The sequence below is a fragment of the Homo sapiens genome, chromosome 16 (assembly GCF_000001405.40).
Source record: "Homo sapiens chromosome 16, GRCh38.p14 Primary Assembly".
NCBI classification, from domain to species: Eukaryota; Metazoa; Chordata; class Mammalia; order Primates; family Hominidae; genus Homo; species Homo sapiens.
This window is the reverse complement of record NC_000016.10, coordinates 33,615,929-33,640,785: the sequence shown is the minus strand read 5'-3', so window position 1 is coordinate 33,640,785 and position 24,857 is coordinate 33,615,929. Positions and strand designations below refer to the sequence as shown.

At 42.3% G+C, this 24,857-nt stretch overlaps 1 pseudogene; it reads right to left on the bottom strand.

The window, feature by feature from the left end:
* Positions 1-13,936: 13,936 nt before the first annotated feature.
* Positions 13,937-24,857, bottom strand: part of LOC102724181 (rhophilin-2-like) — a 55,052-nt pseudogene continuing 44,131 nt past the window's right edge.

Here is a 24,857-nt window from a genome sequence, read left to right as displayed (position 1 = left end):
CTGGAATTCTAAAACTACAAGAAATGGGGAGAGATAGGAAGTAAGCACAAAATAATGAGAAACCTTCAATAATCAGCTTTAGTTTAGCTGATCATTGAATGACAATATTTACTATAGTGTTTTCTGTCTTTGCTAGTTTAACCACATGTTCTGTTTTTCAATTCAAGATCAGGGCATTTTTACATTCACTTTAGGGAAATCATATGTCAAGAAACATTTACTTGTATATCCCCAAGCATTCAGATTTCATGGTAAAAATTAATGTATATGACATACATTTACACAACAGTTACTGGTTGCCCCCTCCAAAAAAAGTCAAGGTGCCACAAAGACTGAGCTCTTGATGTGAGGAAAACAGTCATTATAAGCGGTCCTGTGGTCCCTGAGAAAAAGGATTCCTTCACTCTCTGAAGAGGAATTTATTTATACAGCATGAACAATTATCTGCTGAATTTTAATTCTGTCCTTTCTCAGAAATAAATTTGGGCTCTGCTTTTAAAAACAAGCCCAGGAAATAACAGTTTGCAGGGGCCTGAAATCAGAAGTCTGCAGACTGCTGGCAGGAATGTTCAATATTCATATTCATTGTACAATCGACCTCATGTACCAGAAGGCTTTTCCTCAACTTGAAATCTCAGTGGTCCCTCAAACAAGTTGCAGCATGTGTTTGCCTCACACGTGACACTAACTCTTACTTCTGGACTGAAACAAAAGCCAAAGGTGAATCCTGGTGACCGTCAAGACTCCAGGAATGACCCAGCATTGATTATGGGCTCCTTGGAGAAATTCAGACAAATATGAGAAAACAAATAGGGGTGGAGCCAGAATTTAGGGTGGTGGGGCACTGAGAAACTTTTTTTCTCATTTGCATATTTTCCATTATTGTTGTAACACATGCTTCACTCACAGGGTATGTGACAATCCAGAAGGACACCACTCTCCAGGATGACCTGTGTCTGAGCGTAGAGTTTCAGAGACCAGGCCATTCACTTGGCACAGTTACCAAGAATGGTCTTTTGGAGTTTTTCAGAATGGTTGGAGTTTCTCAGAGATGCGTCCTCATTGTTTGATTTTCTTACATAATATGTACTCCCTTGGTAATCACATCCGCATTTTTAATTATTAACTATATTCAAATCCTCTGGCCCCTCCACTGAGCACCAATGATATATAGCCAACTCTTGTGTACATCCCCACTGCTGGTCCTACAGCCCATCACATTCAGCAATGCTCCCATCATCCCCCACTCTTTCCCAAACCACTCCCCTTCCTGTCTGCTGCCTCAGCAAATAGCACTTCCATCCAGCAAAGCTCCTCAGCCAGACACCTGACTTTCTCTCCCTCACAACCACCCATGACCAAGCCTGTCAATTTCAACTCCTATTAATAATTTTCCCTGAACCAGTCCACTCCCCTCCATCTCTATCACCACCATCCTGGGGGAGGAGACCACTACCATCTCAAACCTATGTTACACACAGTCTTCCTAACTGAAATGCTGAGCCTCTTCTAAAGCACTAGAACTTTCAAAGGCTCAGTCCTACCTTTCTCACCCTGCTGCTCAAAACCTACTCCCACTGCCATTGGTCTAAACAAAACTCTTTTATGTGGCATGAAAGGCATTTCTTGATCTATCTCTTTTATCTCAAAAATTTCATCCCTTGCACTCCATAATCTAGTCATGCTACAACCTAGTCACTGTATTTTGATTACCTGTTTTAATTTTGTTTTTTGTGTTTTTTTTTTCAGAGACAGTGTCTTGCTATGTTACCCAGGCTGGAGTGCAGTGACTATTCTCAATCCTGATCATAGTGCACCATGGCCTCAAATTCCTGAGCTAAAGCCATCCTCCCACCTCAGCTCCAAGGACTACAGGCTCACACCACAACACCTGGCACTCTGTTTACTTCTCTTTTTCCCCTACTAGGTTATAAACTCCTCCAAGGCAAGGATTTAGTCCTGCTCACAGTTGTAACATAACACCTAGCTCAGTGCCTGAACATAGCAGTTGTTCAATCATTAAACTAAAATTTATTTCTCCCATAATTTTTTCTTAAGTTTTGGTGGTTCCAATTGAAAAAAAGACAACATGAATGAACATTAACAAATAAATAAAAAGCTCAGATGCATGAGACCTGCCTGCATCCTTATAATAAAAGCTGTATATTCTTCAAGTAATTTTTTCCTGTTTTATGTGAGGAATTAAATATACCAATGTGTCATAGTGTTAGAAAAGGAGAACTTTGGCCTTCAGGTAATACAACACCTAAAAAAGTTTTATGTCATTTGTATTAGAAAATATCACGTTCCTAGGCTGCTTAGATACTCAGGATTCATTAGCTATTTCTCATTGCAAGTGCCAGAAAAGTGCCAGAAATCCAACTCAATCAACTTAGACACTCCACCCTCACAAAAACTGATAATCAGTTCATGTAATCCAAGAAAAGATTGAATAACCAATACACAGAAAGGACAGTCATGCATTTAGGTCTCAGAAAGGACTCAAAACCAAGATTCAAAAGCTATCAGACTCACTGTGACTCTTCTCTCAAAAAAAAAAAAAAACCTGCATACTCTCACTAGTTCTCTCCACTCCATATGATGAGAAAAAAAAAACACACACACACACAACACAGTATTATTTTCTAGGGCTGCTATAACAACACACTAAAAACGAGTTGTCTTAAAACAACAGAAATCTATTGTCTTACAATTCTGGAGGTTAGAAGTCCAAGCTCAAGGAGTTGGCAGGGCATGCCCACTCAGAGGACTCTCGGGGAGAATCCTTTCTGGCCTCTCCCAGCTTCCCATGTTTGTGGGCAATCCTTGACAGCCAGTGGCTTTTAGATGCGTTACTCCAGTCACATAACCATCTCCTCCCTGTATCTCTTCGCATGGTCTTCCTTCTGTGTGTGTCTGTCTCTGAGTCTAAATTTCCCTTTTTTATTATATAAGGACACCAGTCCTATTGATTAGGGCCTACTCTAATGACCTCATTGTAACTTGATTACATGTATAAACACCCTATTTCCAAATAAGGTCACATTCTGAGGTACTGGGGGCTAGGACTTCAACATACCTTTTTGCAGGAGACATAATTCAACTACAACAACGAATAATAACAGTTTCCAATATTTGCATCTAAAGTCTCCCCTACCAGAGGAAAAGTCTAGAAGTCTTTGACATGGTTTGTGTGGTGTCCCCAACCCCTGGGCCAAACAACAGAGATGGGGGCAGCAGAGTTCTATAAGAACATGATTGTTTCTGTGGTAGTCATATAGATGGGGAAAGTGGTACTATGGAACAGCTATGCTCACATCTGCTTCCCTTCTAGTGACAAGGAGATGGGTTAATGTTAGAGGGTAAAAAAAAGATACAGACACTCAGCAGAGTGAAAGGTAAACATTCACAAGGAGAGGAGTGTTAGGAAAAAGATCAGGAAAGGAGTGTGTGCCATGACTTATCAAATGTCTTCTTTAATATTGTAAGTGGGAAACAAAGCAAAGCATTTGTTCAATTTACTGCTGCTACAAATGAGAGATGCATTATTTTTCTTTTTCAGGGGTTATGGTCAACCCAATTTTCTCCCTACGTACAGCATTCCATTACATATATTTTGCTCCTAACTTATTTTATATTCCAGAGGTGAAAGCATATAAGAACAAATCAGTAAAAACTGTGGTGATACTTTGGCACCAGAAATAAAGTTCTTTTTTAACATTAAGAACTATGGCTAAACCAGGACAAAGGTGACTCAAAATTTCCTTAACTTAAGCTGGGTATGGTAGCACCTGCCTGTATTCTCAGCTACTCAGGAGGCTGAGGCAAGAAGAGAGGATGGCTTGAAGCCAGGAGTTCTAGGCCAGAGTGCACTGTGATCACACCTGTGAAGAGCCACTGCACTCCTAGGCAACAAAGCAAGACCCTGTCTTTAAAAAAAAAAAAAAAAGTTAAAAAAATTTCCTTTACTTAAAGGTTTGTATGACTATTTAGACATACATTGAAGCCAAGTGTGGTGGCTCACATCTGTAATCCCAGTATTTTGGGAGGTGGGGCAGTGAGGATTGCTTGAGGCCAAAAGTTCATGACCAGCCTGGGCAACATAGCAAAATCCTGTCTCTACAAAAATTTTTAAAAGTAGCTGGGCCTGGTGGCATGCGCCTGTAGTCCTAGCTGCTTGGGAGGTTAAGGCAGCAGGATCGCTTGAGCCCAGGAGTTTGAGGCTGCAGTGAGCTATGATTATGCAGCCTGAGTGACAGAGCAAGACCTTGTCTTTAGAAAAAATAAAAGTAAAAATAAAATAAAAATAAAAACATACATTGCAATTGTTCTAATTGTCAAATTTATTTGCTCCAAAATAAAACTGGGCAGGTCTATTTTGGATATCATTTAAACTCCACCATTAAAGAAACTGTATTTTAAAGTATTTTTTAATTATAGAAAAATAATATTTGTTAATTTATAGACATTTTGGAAAAATCTATGAAAGACTGTTTAAAAAATAAAAGTCACCTATAATCCCATCACTAATTACCGTCAACATTTCAATATCTTTACTTAGTTGTTTTCTCTATTTACATAAGTACATTTTTAAAAACTTTACAGAGTTAGATTTATATTATACAGTTTTTGTTTTTTGTTTTTTTGAGACAGGGTCTCACTCTGTCACCCAGGCTGGAGTGCAGTGGCATGAACATGGCTCTCAATGCACCTCTGCCTCCTGGGCTCAAGGGGTCCTTCCACCTCAGCCTCTCGAGTAACTGGGACCACAGGCACGAGCCAGCACACCTGGCTAATTTTTGTATTATTTTGGTAAGGTTCTGCCATGTTGCCCAGGCTGGTCTCCAACTTTTGGGCTCAAGCAGTCCTCCTGCCTAGCCTCCCAAATTGCTGGGATTACAGGCATGAGCTGCTGCACCCAGCCAGATACATATTAAACAGTCTTATGTCCTCATTTTTTCATTTTATATTTTGGGAATACCATGTTTAATCACAGCATAATATTCTATGGTATGCCATAATTCATATAAACACTATTTTATTGTTGGACATGTAGGTTGCTTATTTTTTTATTATAAGGATGTTCCAAATATATATATGCACAGTTTTATTGTAAGCATAGCTAATCACCCCTAAAAGAGATGCAAAGCTTTCCACCATCACTAGGCAAATTTCAATTTATTCTATACAATCTGCCTCTAAAATGAGATAAAATATCAATCATCACAAGAAATATACCAAAATGCATACATACAATTAACAAACATATCTAATTCCTAATTGCAAATTGTCTCATATGTTGAAAAGCACAGTATTCAAGTTCCTTGAGGGCAGGCACAGTGGCTCACACCTAGAATGCCAGAACTGTGGGAGACCAACGTGGGAGGATCGCTTGAGGCTGTTACAGTAAGTAGCTAGTCAGACATGGGTGGAGCAGGGCAGGGCAGGGCAGGAGAGGCGAGGAGTCGGCAGGAGAGGAAAGGAATGGGCAGGAGAGGGTTCCCCCATCCCCAACCCAGGAGTCTTGGGCAGGCGAGGGGGTTGTTAACTGTCTCTCTAAAGTAATAATTGGTCCCAGCCGGTGCTAGGGAAAGGCAGGCTCCCAATAAATAGAAAACACCTGAAACTGATCAACTTCTGGATAAGCTTTCAGGAGTGGGGAGAAGTAACCCAAGATCCTGGAAGTATGCTGATGTATAAAACCCCAAATCAAAAGGTCAAACCACACACTTGTCTTTCAGGTCACCCACTTGGCCCTCTTCCAAGTATGTTTTCCTCCCTTTCATTCCTGCTCTGAAGTTTTTTAATAAACTTTCACTTCTGCTCTAAAACTTGCCTCAGTATCTCCTTCTGCCTTCTGCCCCTCAGTCAAATTATTTCTTCTGAGGAAACGAGAATTGAGGTTGCTGCAGACCTGTGGGATTTGCCATGGTAACAAGGCCAGGAGTTCGAGACTGGCCCAGAAAACGTGGTGAGATCTTGCCTCTAAAGAAAAGGGGGGAAAAAAGTTTCTTGACTCTCTTCAGATCTTTCGGAAATCTTATCCCTTGCTAATAAATATTTGTAGAGTCAGAAAGAGGAGATGGCATTAATTTCTGCATTGATGTTTATATTTTGGTGGTATATGGCCGGGTCAAAGGGCTACATATTCCACCTCTGCTCCAGAGCTGCTTATCCAAGTTCTCTGGGATGTAGCTGGTATAACTAGGAATTATGTCCTTAGAAAGACGCAACCCTGCAGCAGCTAGAATTAGTGCAATTTAGTGAGAAGAGCATGGGACTTTCTCTACACCTGGGTTCAAATTTCAATGCCAGCACTTCCGGGAGCAAGTCTTTGGGCAACTCAGTGTTTGTGAGTCAATCTACTATTTCTAAAATAGGGAAGCAGACAGGTGGACATTCATTGAATACAGAGGCTTTACACAAGCGATCTCGTTTAACTCTCACTAAAAAATGACTGATCCTTTTAAAAATAAGCAAACAGGCTCAGACTGGGTAAGTAATTACTCAGACTCATAAGGAGGCAAGGCAGGATTTAATTCCAGATCTGTCTAGCCCTAAAGCTCACATTCCCTGCCCCACTTGACATGTTGCTTCCTGGACTCACTTGGATTGTGGAGAAATTAGTTGGATTTGAATATCTCCTCTAGCGTAGTGAGCACAGTTTTCATTCCTGTAGCAGTTTTTGTATTATAGTTTGTTGGGATAGAGGGTTGGGACCAGGGCCAGGAACAGGTTCAGGCAAGTGAAACACTAACCTCAGGCAGAAAATATAAGGGGCGGGGCACAAAAACTCAGTCGTCAAGATAAATAATATTTTAATATAATATTTTTTAAAATCTAAATTAATGCAAAAATCCATAAAGAACAAAATAACATTTTAAATGAAAACAAGAACTGATAGTGCCATGTTAAGCCATATTGGAGCCTACAACAGAAAAACATACAACCCTATTCACATGTTTTTTATGTATTTTTGATGTTTAATTATGATAAATTCTATGTAATAATACCTTGGCCGGGCGCGGTGGCTCACGCCTGTAATCCCAGCACTTTGGGAGGCCGAGGCAGATGGATCATGAGGTCAGGAGATTGAGAACATTCTGGCTAACACGGTGAAACCCCGTCTCTACTAAAAATACGAAAAAAATTAGCTGGGCGCAGTGGCGGGCGCCTGTAGTCCCAGCTACTCAGGAGGCTGAGGAGGAAAATGGAGTGAACCCGGGAGGCGGAGCTTGCAAGTTTGCGCCACTGCATTCCAGCCTGGGCGACAGAGTGAGACTCCATCTCAAAAAAAATAAAATAAAATAAAAATAATACCTTAAGCAGATATCAATTTTTTCAGAACACTAGTTTTAAAATATTGAAACAATTGAAAAGTAGATATATTAAAACTCACATTAAGTATTTGATTTATACCAAAATCAGAATTTACTATAAATTTATTTTGCTGGTTTTAATGGAAGCAAACTCATAGGTGATATTTTTATCTAAGTCAATAACCTTTTTTTTTTCCAAGACAGAGTTTCACTCTTATTGCCCAGGCTGGAGTGTGATGGCGCCATCTCGGCTCACTGCAACCTCCACCTCCTAGGTTCAAGCGATTCTCCAGCCTCAGCCTCCCGAGTAGCTGGGGTTACAGGTGCTTGCCACCATGCCCAGCTCATTTTTTTTGTATTTTTAGTAGAGATGGGGTTTCATCAATGTTAGCCAGGCTGGTCATGAACTCCTGACCTCAGGTGATCCACCTGCCTCGGCCTCCCAAAGTGCTGGGATTACAGGTATGAGCCACTGCGCCTGGCCGCCAATAACTGGTTTTAAAAATACGTAAAATCATGTATCCAGTTATATAGTATGTAGTACACATCCTTCCTTTTGCAACATGGCTCAGCACAGCACTGGCTGGAACTATGACTTGCGGCTACCAGCCTCAAAGATTTTCAGGACTCTGTAAATGGAAACAGATCATCTGATCATATCTGACTCCTCAGGTCTCCTGTTAGAGCTCCTTTGGGTAGTAGTCTCTCTTTTCATAGAAGAATATCACTGTCAGGCTGATTTTTAGGGTCATGTTCCTAAAGGCCAATAAAGACAAGCTGTGTTCTCATGACAACAGGCAGAAATCAACCTCACACATCTGCTGACGCTCCAGAACATCTATGTGGACTTCCAAGCACTAAATATCTGAGAGTTACTGTCTTTTAAATACCCCCAAATGAAGGTTTTGAATAACTTTTCTGGAGCACATATGTTCATTTAACATTTATTGAAGACTACATCCCTACTAAATAAAACAGCCTATATCTGGGTTTGCAGATTCTATTATCCAGCCTTATGTTCTTTACCAATTAGTAGTGTATGCCATTATATCTTTTGTCATTTAAAAAGCATGTATTATGCATCTTTTATTACAGTAAGGGCTATATAATAATGCCTTATGCTTTTACGATTTTTCACTTGCATTCAATGCTTATGAAGGTTCTATGAGGTAGGCAGATATGATATTTTATACAAATTAATGTATTAACTTTTTCTTTGAAGCTGCAGATTATCTAGTGATCAGCCCTCTCACTTTTTACTCACTGTCCTCTGATTCCAGTTCTAATGCTCTTTCCACACTGCCAAGTTGCCTCTTCTAACAGACACACAGCCTAATAACATAGGATTTCAGATAGACAAGTGTAGACAAAACAGGACTGTACAGTTGAATATAGGATGTCTGAAGTGATCAAATGAATATGAAATTATGATGTAACCTGCCAAGGAAAAGATGAATTTTCCAGAAGGGAGAGTGAAGAGGAGTCATAGGGCGACTCAGTCCTGGACACAGCCACAGAGCTGGGGAGGCCCGGGCCTGCCGGAGAGGTGGTGCCATGTGTGGTTACCATATGGCTGGGGGCAGAGGCATGGTCAGCAGCACAAGCAGAGCTCAGAGCATGACAGCCTCACCAGAGACAAAAAGTTGAGTCACAAACCTGGCCTAATCAGAATCAAGAAACAGACCAGGCCGGGAGCAGTAGCTCATGCTTGTAATCCCAGCACTCTGGGAGGGTGAGGTGGGTGGATCACAAGGTCAGGAGCTCGAGACCAGCCTGGCAACACAATGAAACCCTGTCTCTACTAAAAATACAAAAATTAGCTGGGCATGGTGGCGGCTGCCTGTAATCCCAGCTACTTGGGAGGCTGAGGCAGAAGAATCACTTGAACTAGGGAGACAGAGGTTGCTGTGAGCCAAGATCGTGCCACTGAACTCCAGCCTGGGTGAGAGAGCTAGACTCCATCTCAAAAAAAAAAAAAAGAAAAAAGAAAAAAAAGAAAAAAGAAATAGACCAATTCTCAGAATGAGTGCCAATGAGAAGACCTAAGAAAACAAGAGACAGGCCAGGTGTGGTGGCTCACGCCTATAAACCCAACACTTTGGGAGGCCGAGGCAGTTGGATCATGAGGTCAGGAGACTGAGGCCATCCTGGCCAACATGGTGAAACCCCCTGTCTACTAAAAATACAAAAATTAGCTGGGTGTGGTGGCGGGTGCCTCTAATCTCAGCTACTCGGGAGGCTGAGGAACAAGAATTGCTTGAACCCAGGAGGTGGAGGTTGCAGTGAGCTGAGATCACATCACTGCACTCTAGCCTGGAGACAGAGTGAGACTCTGTCTCAAAAAAAAAAAAAAAAAAGAAAAAAGAAAACGAGAGACAAAACAGACTACTGTCTGTGATTTCTTTAAAAAACCAGGAGGAGAAGATAAAACTGTTCTGGAGATGGATAGTGGTATTGGTTGTACAATAATGTAAATGTTTAATGTCACTGAACTATACATTTAAAATGGTTTAAATGGTAACTTTTATTATATGTATATTTTTAACATTATATATTGTGTTATATATAATTGTGTATATGTGCACAATTTTTAACATAAATACTTTTTTTAAATCAGACTCAAGTTGACCTAATTCTCTGTACCTCAGAGGAAAATCCTCCCAGGTCCAAAAAAGAAAAACAGTCAGGAGCTGCTTAACCAGTGATTGAGGTGAAGGCAGGGGAATTATACCCACCTAAAGGGACAATTTGTAAGTTTGTCAATATTTGGGGGTTTTGCTTTATTTTTCTTTTTTGAGACAGAGTCTCACTCTGTCGCCCAGGCTTGAGTGCAGGAGTTATCTCAGCTCACTGCAACCTCTGCCTCCCAAGTTCAAGCAGTGCTCATGCCTCAGCCTCCCAAGTAGCTAGGATTACAGGCACATGCCACCACGCCCAGCTGATTTTTGTATTTTTAGTAGAGACAGGCTGGTCTCAAATTCCCAACCTCAGGTCTGCCCGCCTCAGCTTCCCAAAGTGCTGGGATTACAGGCATTAAGTCACCACGCCCGGCCTAGTTTGTTTGTATTTTGGCTCTAACAATGAATGGGGTACAACTTGCTGGGGTCCTGGGATTAGAGATGCCCAATAATATGTGGGTCAGTCATGCAAAAAAAAAGCTGTCTCATGTCAGACATGAGCTTTGAATGTCTTTCAAGTAGATGAAAAACCTATTTACAATGATGTGAGCCTAAAATCTAACTTTAATTTACACATAAAACACAAAATACTTTTGAGTAGTTTTAAATGCACTGAATTTTCTAGGAATACAATTTATAAATGCAAAGAAAATTGGATGTTGCTTCACTGAATTTTTAGGAATGCACTTTATAAAGGCAAGGAAAACTGGATGTTGCTTCACACATAACTTAACCCATTGTAGTTCATCATTCTGGAAAATTACAATACCAATGGTGATGCCCCCTGTGGTATTTGAGTCATCAATGTATCACTCCAGTATCAGTCTGCATTTGTAGGTGTCACATTCACAACGATTCTAGGTATAAGTACAAGCATCTGGCTAAAATGTATGTTTACTGTAAATTAAATTTTTAAAATTTCTCCTTTATGTTACGCTTAGGTTATGTGTGAGATTAGCTTGTATTTTCTATTCACTTTCTTTTAGAATAGAAGATATTTATGAAAGAAAAAGGGTACTGAGACTGGTGAAATGTATCTACATCCAACCAGGATGGCCTGGAGTACACAGCTACTGGGGATTTTCCAAGCACTATGGGAGAATGCATGCATTGTATTGTTTGAACAGAGACCACCCATTTATCACTGACATCCCGTATCCCTTTTCTGCTGCTATCGGGGGTCTAACCTTGTCCAGACAAGCCAGAAATATCTCCTTTTCTCTTCCAAGTACTCTGCAGCATCTTCACTGGAAAAGAGGAATTTCAGATGTTTGACTATTAGAGGCTTGACAAGGGCAGAGAGAGCAGACACCTAGCACAGAGTTGAGTCAGTAGGAACTCTGAGGAAAAGGGCAATGATCAGTTAAAAAAGGTCAGCTATAATATGTTTCCTATCCTCAAAGTCTGCTGCTAAATTAAGGGAAAAAATTTTAAAGATGTATGCAAAAAATTTATTGTACACAATCAAAAGGAAGTTGAATTTAACTACAATTGCAATTATTCATGAGGTTTATCAATTTGTAGATCATTTTGAAGAATTGACAAAATTTTGTATGCTCCTTGGGGAGACACTGAAAAAGTCATTAAAGCAAAGGAATCTCATTAGAAAATGTGGTCTCTGTCCTCACTGAAAGTTAAAGAATGACTCAACTGACAGATAGTTTCCATACTTCCTTTTTAATAGCCATACCTTATATCAGTTTGCTCTCATACATGAGAATGAGAGACCACATATTTTTTCAGAGCAATTTAAAAACAACTGTTTCACCAAGCGCGGTGGCTCACGCCTATAATCCCAGCACTTTTGGAGGCTGAGGCAGGTGGATAACGAGGTCAGGAGTTCAAGACCAGCGTGGCCAAGATGGTGAAACCCCGTCTCTACTAAAAATACAAAAATTAACCGGGTGTGGTGGCAGGTGCCTGTAATCTCAGCTACTCGGGAGACTGAGGCAGAGAATTGCTTGAACCCGGGAAGCAGAGGTTGCAGTGAGCCGAGATTACACCACTGCCCTCCAGCCTGGGTGACAGAGTGAGACTCCATCTCAAAAAAAAAAAAAATCTGTTTCTTTCTACAACCACTTAAAAAAACAAACCATGCCCAAACTTAATTTCATAAACTAAATTGCACTACTAAAAACCAAAGGTTAATTGGAAAATTTAAATTTTCATTACTTTACTGCAGACTTGTTTGTAATAGTAAAAACAAAAATGGAAACAACCTAAATGTTTCAGCAGAAACATAGTTGAACAGGAGACAGTGCATTCATAAATGGAATACCATGCAATCTCCAAAATGATCTTATAGAATTACCAATGTTATTGAAAGATGTGCATGTGCCAGCCATGGTGGCTCATGCCTGTAATCCCAACACTTTGGGAAGCCAAGGTGGGTGGATCACTTGAGCCTAGGAGTTTGAGACAAGCCTAGGCAACATGGCAAAACCCTGTCCCAACAAAAAATACAAAAATTAGCTGGGCATGGTGGCGCACACCTGTAGTGCCAGCTACTTGGGAGGCTGAGGCAGAAGGATCACTTGAACTCAAGAGATGGGGGTTGAAGTGAGCCAGAATTGCACTACATTCAAGCCCAGGTGACAGAGCTAGACCATGTCTCAAAAAAAAAAAAAGCAAGAAAGAAAAGAAAGAAGGATGTGCATGATATATTTAATCATGAGAACATTACTGAAATCCTTTAAAAATGCATATATTTACACATATGTGCTTAGAAAAAAAAAGGATACACACCAAAGTGTTACAAGTCATTGTAACATTGCATTTGTGTAACAACATTTTCTTTGGCTTGTCTGTAATTTCTAAATTGTCTGTGTATATATTACTTTTGCAATAAAAACAATGTCTTATCAAAATAAATACATTTAACTTTTATTGACAGTATTTTCTCTGGGGCTGTCATATTTTTTTCTAAGGCCTCAATAAACTAAACAACTAGACAGAACAGAAGGTAAAAAAGTGAAGCTCATTTTCTTTATTAGTTGTTTATGACCATCATCATCTCTACTCATCACCTTCAAGCACCAAGCTGGTTCTTCCCCACCATCCCTGCCTCATGAATGGCATCAACTCGCTGGCTGCCCAAGTGAGAATTTGTTACCTTTACCCATCCCCAATCCAGGGGCCCACCTCTGTCTAATGTTTCTCCATAATAGCTCCCAAACTCTAACACCCTCCTTATCATTTCTACCATCTTGTTGTTCTATGACTGCAGCAAGCCCTGTAACTGGCCTCTTAGCCTCCAGGCTCCTCCCGACCTAGACTTGCTTACATTGCTGTACAAGTGAGGTTTTTAACATTCTCAGTCTTGTCACTCACTGCTTAAACTCCTTCAAGAATTTTCACTCCCTTCAGGCCAAGGGCTATATGAAGCCCTTCAGATGTGGCCCTTGCTTCTGTCTCCAGCCCCATCTCTCAGCAGTGCTCTTAACACTCCCAACCATCATGAGCTAATTACTATCCTTCCAACATGCCATGCTCCTTCACACCCCGCTTGCTTTGAACACCCTGACTCTTCTGCCTGAAATGCCTTTCCCAGTTCCCCTCTGATATGGTTTGGCTGTGTCCCCACCCAAATCTCATCTTGAATTGTAGTTCCCATAATCCCCACATGTTGTGGGAGGGACCTGGTAGGAGGTAATTGAGTCATGGGGGTGATTACCCTCATGCTGCCATTCTCATGGTAGTGAACGTGAGTTCTCACAAGATCTTATGGTTTTATAAGGGGCTTCTCTCCCTTTGCTCAGCACTTCACCTTGCTGCCACCATGTGAAGGACACGTTTTCTTCCCCTTCCACCATGATTGTAAGTTTCCTGAGGCCTCCTACGCCATGCTGAACTGTGAGTCAATTAACTTCTTTCCTTTATAAATTACCCAGTCTCGGGTATGTATTTATTAGCAGTGTGAGAATGGACTAACACACCCCCTTCACTCACTTTTCAGTCTTCAAAGTGCACAGCCATCCTTTACTGCCCCGTGCAGCACCTTCAGGCCTTGAGCTCTATGCAGGGAGGTAAGCCACGGAAGTCACAAGCACATCTTTTATACTAGTGCACACAACTGAAAACTCACAGACTGGTAAAGCACATCTTTTATACTAGTGCACACAACTGAAAACTCACAGACTGGTAAAGCACATCTTTTATACTAGTGCACACAGCTGAAAACTCACAGACTGGTACCAAACCAGCTTGGTTCTGTTCTGCTTCCACTGCCTGTCAAGACTGTGTGCTCTGGGCAAGGTACTTCAACCACTGGGTCTTGGCTTCCTCATCTGGAAAATGAAAATAAAACTGCAACTTTAAAAAGCTTTTCTGAAATCAAATGCAGCAGTGTACATAAAAGGCAAATAAGCTCACCCTATGTTTTACCTAATTTTCTTTTTATCCTGCTCTGTGTATTTCTTAAGCCAACCATCTTACTTCCTTTTTAGAATGCATCAGGATAGACACAAATAAATGGAAACACCGTTACAAAGCCCCTGCTCACACTTCAGAATTCAGATTGCATTACCTCCTCCAGGAAGTCTTCCTTAATCACTCTCTGCTCAAGTCTCATTTAGATGATCTCCTGTGTGCTTGCATATCGTCTGTGCATACCTCTGTGTTGGGAGGAGTGGTAAGAGATGGGGCTGGAGACTCAAGAAAAGGCCACATCGGAAGGGCCTCGATCCTTTCCCCTGAAGGGAGTAAAGGCTCTCCAAAGAGTTTAAGCAGTGAGTGAAAAGACCAGCCAAGAATGTGAAAAACCTCATCTGGACACAAGGCAAAATAATTATTTTCTCCCTTGGTTACCTTTTCCATTCCCTTTCTTCAAGGGAAAGAACCATGTCTTATTTTACTTGGCATCAGCAGCTCTCAGAACAGTGGCTTGACCAATACCAAGCATTCAATAAATGTTTATTGAAGGAATGAATCAATGGCCACCCACAACCTATACCTCTTACAGCCCATTTAATGTCCTTTAGCCCCTTCCATAGGTATTTGCCTGGAATGTTTGTAAGATTTTTGAAAATCTCAGAAACAACACCAGCCCTCCACCCATGGGAAGCTGTGTCTCAGGCTAACACCTGTGCTCTTGTTGATGCCATTGCCCCAAAGAAGACCAACCTCTCCTTCTTGCCCATATAAGTTGGCTCTAATTTCAATGCTGCTGAAAACCTCTCCTCTTCCATAAATTATTTTTTCAGATTGCTCCAGCCCATTGTGATCTTTCATCCTTCAAACTCCTTTAACATCTAGGGCCTACACCATTAATCTGACAATCACCATATACTGCATAATATTGTTGTAGTCTGCTATTTACCTTCAGTCTGCAATTTAACTTCCTTAAGTTTATTTCTTGTTCCCCATTGTAGAGAATATCTCCCTTAAATAGCTGCCAAGTCTTGCCAATCATGGCCTTTCCTGTAGTGTTTTGCACGTGTGTGCACACATGTGTTTTTAATTGACTTGAAGACAAGGAGACTCCCCTTAGGAAGCTTTATTTTCTGTTTGCCACTTCCCTAGGACCCAAGATACCCTGATCCCCCTCAATTCATTCTCTGCCTTTCCCTGCTCTTCTTCCCAAGGAAACAAACACCTTCCAACTTTATCACCAGGGCTCCTTTGCCTTCTGGCTTGCATTTGGGTTCAACCAATAGAAGGCACAGATAGGTAATAGATGGGTGGGAGGACAGTGGTAGGGAATATCTTCCCTTGCTTGGCCCATTCTGTAGTGTTTGAGCCCTTCCAGGACTATGGCTTCTCTAGGGCAGCCCCTCTTCAAAAGCTGTGCCCCCCAGGTAAGCTTCAATGGCATCATTTCTTCCCTTTACCTTTTCAGGCCTGGTGCCTCAACATCCTTTTTTGATGCTCTTAACTCTGCTCACACTTCTGTAAATAGTCCCTTTATTAAAGGGACTTTTATCTCTTCAAAAATCCCCACATAATATTCTGTTTCTTGCTGGGATCTTGACTAACACAGGAACTTTCTGTTTAGTTGGGATAAGACTATGGGTACCTTATAATTTATCATCCAAGCCAGGACACTTCTGAGAGTGAAAGGGGGCACTATTAATTAAACCATGGCAACGGGCACAAATCAGAACTGTTCCAGGCCACCTGGAATGAATGAGCATCCTAGGTAAGTCAGGCATATAAAAAGATAATTGTTATAATGAAGAGATAAAAACATTTCTAAAAGAGATAATATTACCACATAGATTAAGGTAAGTGCCAAGGGTGGAATAGACTTTCAGTGCTACAGCCATTCCAAGACAAGAGAGATTATTTCTCCTGGGGAAAGACATTTGAGATCAGCGGGTTGCTCAGTTCTCCTCCAACTAAATGAAGTCACACAATCCATGTGTGCTTGGCCGACTTTGTAGATTTTCTCCAAGAAATTTCAGTCCCAGTTGGGTCCCCCCCTCCACCCCTCACACACCCAGTGTAACTGTTCCTATTTCTTTCTATTGTTTAGGCTCTGGGTTTTTAAGGAAAGCAAATTAATTTAAATCTTAGCCAATTATTCCTTTTAAAAAATACCAAATGCATTCCTGATTCAATTATAAATCATTGTAAATATCTTATATTTTTGATTCTTTAAACCATGTTTTAGCTTCATTTTGCAAAGATATCTAAGAGGTGATTTATAAGCTTTGCTTGCAAATACAAACATTTCTGCTAGTAATCACATAAAGCCTAAGTAACCCTAGAAAGCTTCTCTATGTATATATGTATGAATGTTTACCTTGTCTCTTAAACAAAAGAGTTTGACAATTAACCAATACTCTAAAGCCTTGTCACCCTGAGCAAAGTGAACTCAGACTCATTGCACCCCTACTCCTAGCTGATTCAAGGCTACTTGGCCAGGAAATGTTTCTAATGCTCACGTTGCTAGCAGAAGCAAGTTACTACGAGCCCCAGTGTGTGACTTCAGGCTTGCCAAATCACTGCTTTGTTCAGGCATTTCATACTCAAGAGAATACTATATAAAAACACCCACACCCCTGCCCAGGAGCAGAGAGCACCATGTAGATTAGGGCAGCCAGAGTTCCTGCTCTACTTCCCAACCAGCTGGTGCTGGTTAGGATTAGACCAGTGGGAGTTGGGGTTGAAAAGGTCCCTCTTGAGAGAGTCAGAAAGGGTCCTACAAGAACAAGACAAACAGGAAAAGAAAGCAGTAACTAGAGACAAAAAGCAATGACAGACGTGCAAATCACACACAGGAAATAGCACAAATCAACGCAGATAGTGTCAATAAATGCAAATAGTGTCAGATATTGAACCAAGTAGGTCCATGCTATGCCCAACATCAGAGAAAACAGTTAAGTATGCCCCACCATGTACCTGAAAGGCAGATAGCTAGAAGGCTTTTGCTATTGACACTAGCAAGACTCTATCTCAAACAACAACAAAAAAGTCAAATAGAGCTTTAAACCTGAATCATTTACATCTTTACTTTATAAAATGTAAAACTACTTTTTTACCCAAGACTTAAAATATAGAATTATGTAACTTCTACTTTAAACAAAATGAAAAATGTTTTGAGTATCAAACAGTATATTATCTACCTTGTAGACAGCATCTTCATCTAACACTGCCACTGTGTTAGCAATTCTTAAATGACATCAAACTAGAAGAAAAGCTGCTCCTACATTGTTTTTATTTAATAAGACAAATTTGGCACTAGACTTTTTCTAGAAATAGCACTCATAGTATATCGATATAATAGTAACATCTTGTTTTAGGTTAATGAATTCCTATTAGGAAGCAGCACTTTGGGACAGTTTTTAGTGACACCAATTTAATTCTATCATTATAGTCCTCTGACCTGCCTTAATTCCAGGATCATCTGAATTCTAGGTTAAGGAATGATTATTAGCCAAACCTGGAAACAACTACAAATTGTACTATTATAGGTAACCCCAATTTAATAGTGACTAAAAGTCATAATTGTCACCATTAAAAATAGACGTATTTCATATCTTCAACACTATTCTATTTACAATACTTTATATAATAAATAACTTATAGCAATATAGTAACAGGCCTCAAAAACGTTCTTTTTTCACTAATTCCTAGAGGTTTCTTGGTTACTTTCCTTCATAAAAACACATCAAATGTGAGTTTACACTATGAGAAAAACAGGATTTGAGAATAGATAGATATTTTCCATTATGGCACAAATGTTTAAGGCTGAGTCAGCACCGGAAATGTTCGGGGCCTGAACGTGTTTGTTTCCTCACATTAGTATGAAGAACTGTCTGAGTTGAGAAGGCTGAAAGGGGAGGGCAGCTTCTTCTTGACCTGAGGCCGTGCAGCCCCGACCGATGGGAGGCACAAGTTGCTGGCTGACTTCTGTCTGTTCTTTCTGGTGCCCCAACTCAGGAAGGAAAGCTTCTTGGAGATTTTCTGGGTTTTATCAGTTTTGTCATCATCATCAATGGCTAAGCAGATCATGGAGTACGTTTTCTGCATTCCCACGGAGTATGTGGCACTCTTATTATGCTGCACATAGAAAAGAAAGAAAAAGGGCGTCAGGCATCATCAAGATAGATGATACAAACTACAAAGTCTGGCCAGGCGCAGTGGCTCACACATGTAATCCCAACACTTTGGGAGGTTGAAGAAGGTGGATCACTTGAGGTCAGGAGTCCAAGACCAGCCTGGCCAACATGGTGAAACCCCATCTCTACTAAAATACAAAAATTAACCAGGTGTGGTGGTAGATGTCTGTAGTCCCAGCTGCTTGCGAGGCTGGGCACGAGAATCACTTGAACCCAGGACGTGGAGGTTGCAGTGAGCTGAGATCGCACCACTGCACTCCAACCTGGGCGACAGAGCAGGACTCTGTCTCCAAAAAATAAATTAAACAGACATAATTCAGAAACTCAGGTGACCAATGCTTATATAGAATTAGGTTCTTAAAACAAGGACAAACTGTTTTTCTTTTTTGAGACAGGGTCTTGCTATGTTGCCCAGACTGGTCTTGAACTCCTGGGATCAAGTGATCTTCCTGCCTTGGCCTCCTGAGTAGCTGGGGCTCTAGGTGTGTGCCACCAGGTGCAACAAGGATAATTTTTTGTTTGTTTGTTTTTTGTTTTTGTTTTTTTTTTTAAGACGGAGTCTCACTCTGTCACCCAGGCTGGAGTGCAGTGGCACGATCTCGGCTCACTGCAAGCTCCACCTCCCGGGTTAATGCCATTCTCCTGCCTCAGCCTCTCTGAGTAGCTGGGACTACAGACGCCCACCACCACACCTGGCTAATTTTTTGTATTTTTAGTAGAAAGGGGTTTCACCATGGTCTTGATCTCCTGACCTCGTGATCCACCTGCCTCGGCCTCCCAAAGTGCTAGAATTACAAGCATGAGCCACTGCGCCCAGCCCAACAAGGATAATTTTTAAGGAATGTACTCAATAGTAAAAATTTAAGCTTAGGAGCCACAACTCACATTTTAAGGTTCTTCTTCTATTTGAGAAAGTAATAATTACTAATGGTCACGAATATGAAAGTACAGGGTGGGGTGCGGTGGCTCATGACTACAGTCCCAGCTACCTGGGAGGCTCAGAGGGGAGGATTGCTTGAGCCCAGGAGGTTGAGGGTATAGTGAGCTGTGACTGTGCCACTGCACTCCAGCCTGGGCAACAGAGTGAGACCTCTGTCTCAAAAAAAAAAAAGGGCAGGGGGGAAGGGAAGAGGGGAAAGGAAAGGGAAGAGGAGAAGGGAAGGGAAGAGGGGAAGGGAAGGAAAAAAAAAAGAATATGCAGTGAGCAATAGGTCTCCCTGTCACCTGGGCTTCTAGGCCCTCCATGTTATACTTCTAGAGATGATGTGCATGTACAGGTATTTTTGTATGTACATAAATATATTACCATTCATTTTCTTAAAAGGAATAAACTACACTATTCTACACCTGATTTTCTTTTTTCTTTTTTTCTTTTTTTTTTTTTTAAGACGGAGTCTCGCTCTGTCGCCCAGGCTGGAGTGCCATTTTCATCATTTTCAAGTGTAGAGTTCAGTGGCATTAACTACATTCACATCATTATGCTCCACTGCCACCATCCATCTCTAAAACTTTTTCATCTTCCTCAGCTGAAACTTTGTACAATTAAACACTCTCTACTATTAACTTTCCAAGAATCATGTAGGATTCAAACTGGAAATCTAAGGAAGCTTGCTTTCTGAAGACTTCCACATGGGCTATCGCCAGCTTCTAAGGTTTGCCTAATATTGAGATTGTTTAGTTCGCCACATGTTTATTGATGGTCTACTATGTTCTGGCACTAAAATTAGGCATACAATATATCGCTGCAATAGTTGAGGACATTGTTCCTAATATAAACCCTAAGAGGGGCCGGGCACAGTGTCTTACACCTGTAATCCCAATACTTTGGAAGGCTGAGGTGGGTGGATCACTTGAGGCCAGGGGTTCCAGACCCTGGTGGCCAACATGGTGAAACTCCATCTCTACTAAAAATACAAAAATTAGCCGGGTGTGGTGGTGCACACCTGCAATCCCAGCTACTCAGGAGCTGAGGCAGAAGAATCACTTGAACCCAGGAGGCAGAGGTTGCAGTGAGCCAAGATCACATCACTGCACTCCAGCCTGGGCGATGGAGTGAGACTCTATCGCCAAAAATAAATAAATAATGAATAAATAAATAAAATAAACCCTCAGGAATCTGAGTTATGCAGCAATAAAGTAGGGGGTACTTTGAGCCCCTAAGGATGGAGATGCCTCTTCCTTTTCTGGAAAACTGACCACTAACTCCACCATGTTTTACACAATGTCATTTAAAACAATAATAAAACGAATAATCCTGGAGACAGATGTGAGGCCTGAAAGAATTTCCCAACCCTCAGCTGCTCAAAGTCCATTGTGTATCAAAACCACTGCCTTATAAATACCCTCAGTTCTCTTCCATCTGCCCCCAGCAATGCTAACTCGCTCATCTCCACCCTCTGCCTCCCCTAGGGCCTGTATCTGAAAGGTTGTTCATTGCTGGAGGACACTCACCAAGGCTTCCCTTGGAATTCTAACCTGACCCCAAACCTCTAATAGGCACCCATTTCCTGGCACTCTTGTGTGTCCCTAGTAATTTCATTTCCTTTTCTCCTGTATTCTTGTTTCTTATCTTCACTCTCCTCCTGAAGCCACTCACGCACCCTCCTGAAATCCCTGCCGTATACTTCATGGCATCCGTCCCCCAAGACCAAGCCCTTCTGTGTGCCTGGATCCCATTCCCTCTCTCCTCCAGGCACCCTTGCCTCCCAGATCTCTACACACACACACACACACACACATACACACACACCCCTCTCTCTACACACACACACCCCTCTCCCTACACACACACACACCCCTCTCTCTCTACACACACACACACACACACACACACACCCCTCTCTCTACACGCACCCCTCTCTACACACACACACACACACCCCTCTCTCTACACACAAACACACACACACACTCCTGCAATGCGTACCATCACATTCTTTGAAAAGCCTTTCTTGGCCGGGCGCAGTGGCTCACGCCTGTAATCCCAGCACTTTGGGAAGCCAAGGCGGGCGGATCATAAGGTCACGAGATTGAGACCATCCTGGCTAACACAGTGAAACCCGCCTCTACTAAAAATACAAAAAAATAGCCGGGCGTGGTGGCAGGCACCTGTAGTCCCAGCTACTCGGGAGGCTGAGGCAGGAGAATGGTGTGAACCAGGAGGTGAAGCTTGCAGTGAGCTGAGATAGCGCCACTCACTGCATTCCAGCCTGGGTGAAAGAGTGAGACTCTGTCTCAAAAAAAAAAAGTAAAGCCTTTCTTGACCCTATTCCCCTCCAGGTCCACCCCAGTATCATACCCACATACACTCTCTCTCACTCCTGCAATGTGTACCACTACTTTCTTTGAAAAGCCTTTTTTTTTTTTGAGACAGAGTCTTGCTGTCACCAGGCTGGAGTGCAGTGGCCCAATCTTGGCTCACTGCAACATCCACCTCCAGGTTCAAGTGATTTTCCTGCCTCAGCCTCCCAAGTAGCTGGGATTACAGGCACATGCCACCATGCCCAGATAATTTTTGTATTTTTAGTAGAGTCAGGGTTTCACCATGTTGGCCAGGTTGGTCTTCAACTTCTGGCCTCAAGTGATCCACCTGCCTCAGCCTCCCAAAGTGCTGGGATTACAGGCTTGAGCCACTGTGCCCAGCTCCATTTACTATTTCTTTCCACGCCACCCACTCCTCACTCAAATCCACTGGGGTATCCCTCTAGAACTCTTAGGACTTTATAGAGCACAGTTTAAAACCACTGTGTAGGCCTAACTCTTCCATCCTCTGGATGAGAAAACCGAGGCCCAGGGAGGGTATGAACGTGCTGAAGGTAACACAGCTTGTGAACGGCAGTCAGGGCCTAATTCCAGAGCTTGATTCCAAGCTTAGATTTGTCCAGCTAGGGATCCCCACTGTAGTCAAGAGGGTAGCCAAGGGCAGCAGGTCATCGGTTCAGCCAGAGTGCTAGGATAGATGCTCTCTTTATTTGATTTTGTTTGAAAGGTTCAGTCACTAAAAACAGTGCTTGGCTGTCATTATCTAAAATCCTTATCATAAAAATTAATAGACAAATTATTTTTTAAAAATTATTTTTAAAAAGCCAGGGGCTGGGCATGGTGGCTCACTCCTGTAATCCCAGCACTTTAAGGAGGCCAAGGCAGGCTGATCACCGGAAGCCAGGAATTCAAGATCAGCCTGGCCAATGTGGTGAAACTCCATCTCTATTAAAAATACAAAAATTAGCCAGGCATCATGGTGGGTGCCTGTAATCCCAGCTACTCGGGAGGCTGAGGCAGGAGAATTGCTTGAACCCGGGAAGCGGAGGTTGCAGTGAGCCAAGATTGTACCACTGCACTCCAGCCTGGATGACAAGAGCAAGACTCTATCTCCAAAAACAAAAAAAAGAGCCAGGTACAGTGTCTCACACCTGTAATCCCAACTATTTGGGAGGCTGATTCAAGAGGGTCTCTTGAGGCTAGGAATTCAAGATCAGCTTGGATAACTCAGTTAGACCCCATCACTACAAAATTAGTTAAATAAAAGACAAAAGGAAATTACTTTTGGCCTGGTGCACTGGCTCATTCCTGTAATCCTAACACTTTGGGAGGCGGAGGCAGGAAGATTGCTTAAGCCCAGGAGTCTGGGACCAGGCTGGGCAACAAAATGAGACTGTCACTGCAAAAAAAATTAAAAATTAGCTGGGTATAGTGGTGCACACCTGTAGTCCCAGCTACTTGGGAGGATCTTTTTTTTTTTTTTTTTTTTTGAGATGGAGTCTCCCTCTCTTGCCCAGGCTGGAGTGCAGTGGCATGATCTCGGCTCACTGCAACCTCTGCCTCCTGGGTTCAAACAATTCTCCTGCCTTGGCTGCCCAAGTAGCTGGGATTACAGGCACCCACCACCTCCACACCCAGGGTTTCACCATGTTGACCAGGCTGGTCTAGAATTCCTGACCTCAGATGATGAGAAGGGAGGATCTTTTGAGCCCTAGAACTCGAGGCTGTAGTGAACTATGATTGCACTATTGCCCTCCAGCCTGGGCAACTGAGTGAGACCCTGTCTCAAAACAAACAAAACAAAACAAAAAACAACAACAAAAGAAATTATTTGGCCGGGCATGCTGGCTCATGCCTGTAATCCCAGCACTTTGGGAGGCAAGGTAGGTGGATTTCTTGAGCTTAGAAGTTAGAGAACAGCTAGGGCAACACGGTGAAGCCCCATCTCTACAAAAAAATATGAAAAATTAGCTGAGTATGGTGTTGCATGACTGTAGTCCTAGCTACTCAGGAAGTGGAGGTGGGGGGATCACTTAAGCCCAAGAGTAAAGGCCACAGTGAGCCAAGATCGTGCCAGGGCAATGAGAGCGAGACCCTGTCTCAAAACAAAAAGCAAACTTTTTTTTTTCTACACAGGGTCTTACTCTGTCGCCCCAGCTGGAGTACAGTGGCATGATCTCGGCTCACTGCAACCTCTGCCTCCCAGGCTCAAGCGATTCTTATGCCTCAGCCTCCCACGTAGCTGGGATTGCAGGTATGCACCACCACATCCCGCTAATTATTGTATTTTTAGTAGAGACAGGGTTTTGCCATGTTGGCCAGGATGGCCTCGAACTCCTGGCTTCAAGTGATCTGCCTGCCTCGGCCTCCCAAAGTGCTAGGATTATAGGAGTGAACCACTGTGCCCAGCCTAAAAACATTTTTTTTTTTTTGAGACGGAGTCTCGCTCTGTCCCTCAGGCTGGAGTGCAGTGGCACGATCTCAGCTCACTGCAAGCTCCGCCTCCTGGTTTCACGCCATTCTCCTGCCTCAGCCTCCCAAGGAGCTGGGACTACAGGCACCTGCCACCACGCCCAGCTAATTTTTAGTAGAGATGGGGTTTCACCGTGTTAGCCAGGATGGTTTCGATCTCCTGACCTCGTGATCCACCCGTCTCAGCCTCCCAAAGTCCTGGGATTACAGGCGTGAGCCACTGCGCCCGGCCTAAAAACATTATTTTTAAAAAAATTAAAGACATCCTGCTGGGTGAAAAGAATAAACATCATGATCATGGTTATCATCATTATAATGCTTATTGTGAATTGAAATGCAGCTCATGTTTGGCCCTCTTGGAAGGGCTTTATGTAAACTCAGTTTATCCTGAGGCTCACAGCTATTCACTGACTTGCTGAAGGCCACACAACGGTGGTGGAAAGCCAGGATACACATCTAGACTGTCTCAGTGCAGAACCCTTGCTTTTAGCTACTACAGCAGCCCCTTCCTTGGCCTGGTGTAAAGATGTCACAGGCTTGAAAGTCAAGCCTTTGCACCTCTCACA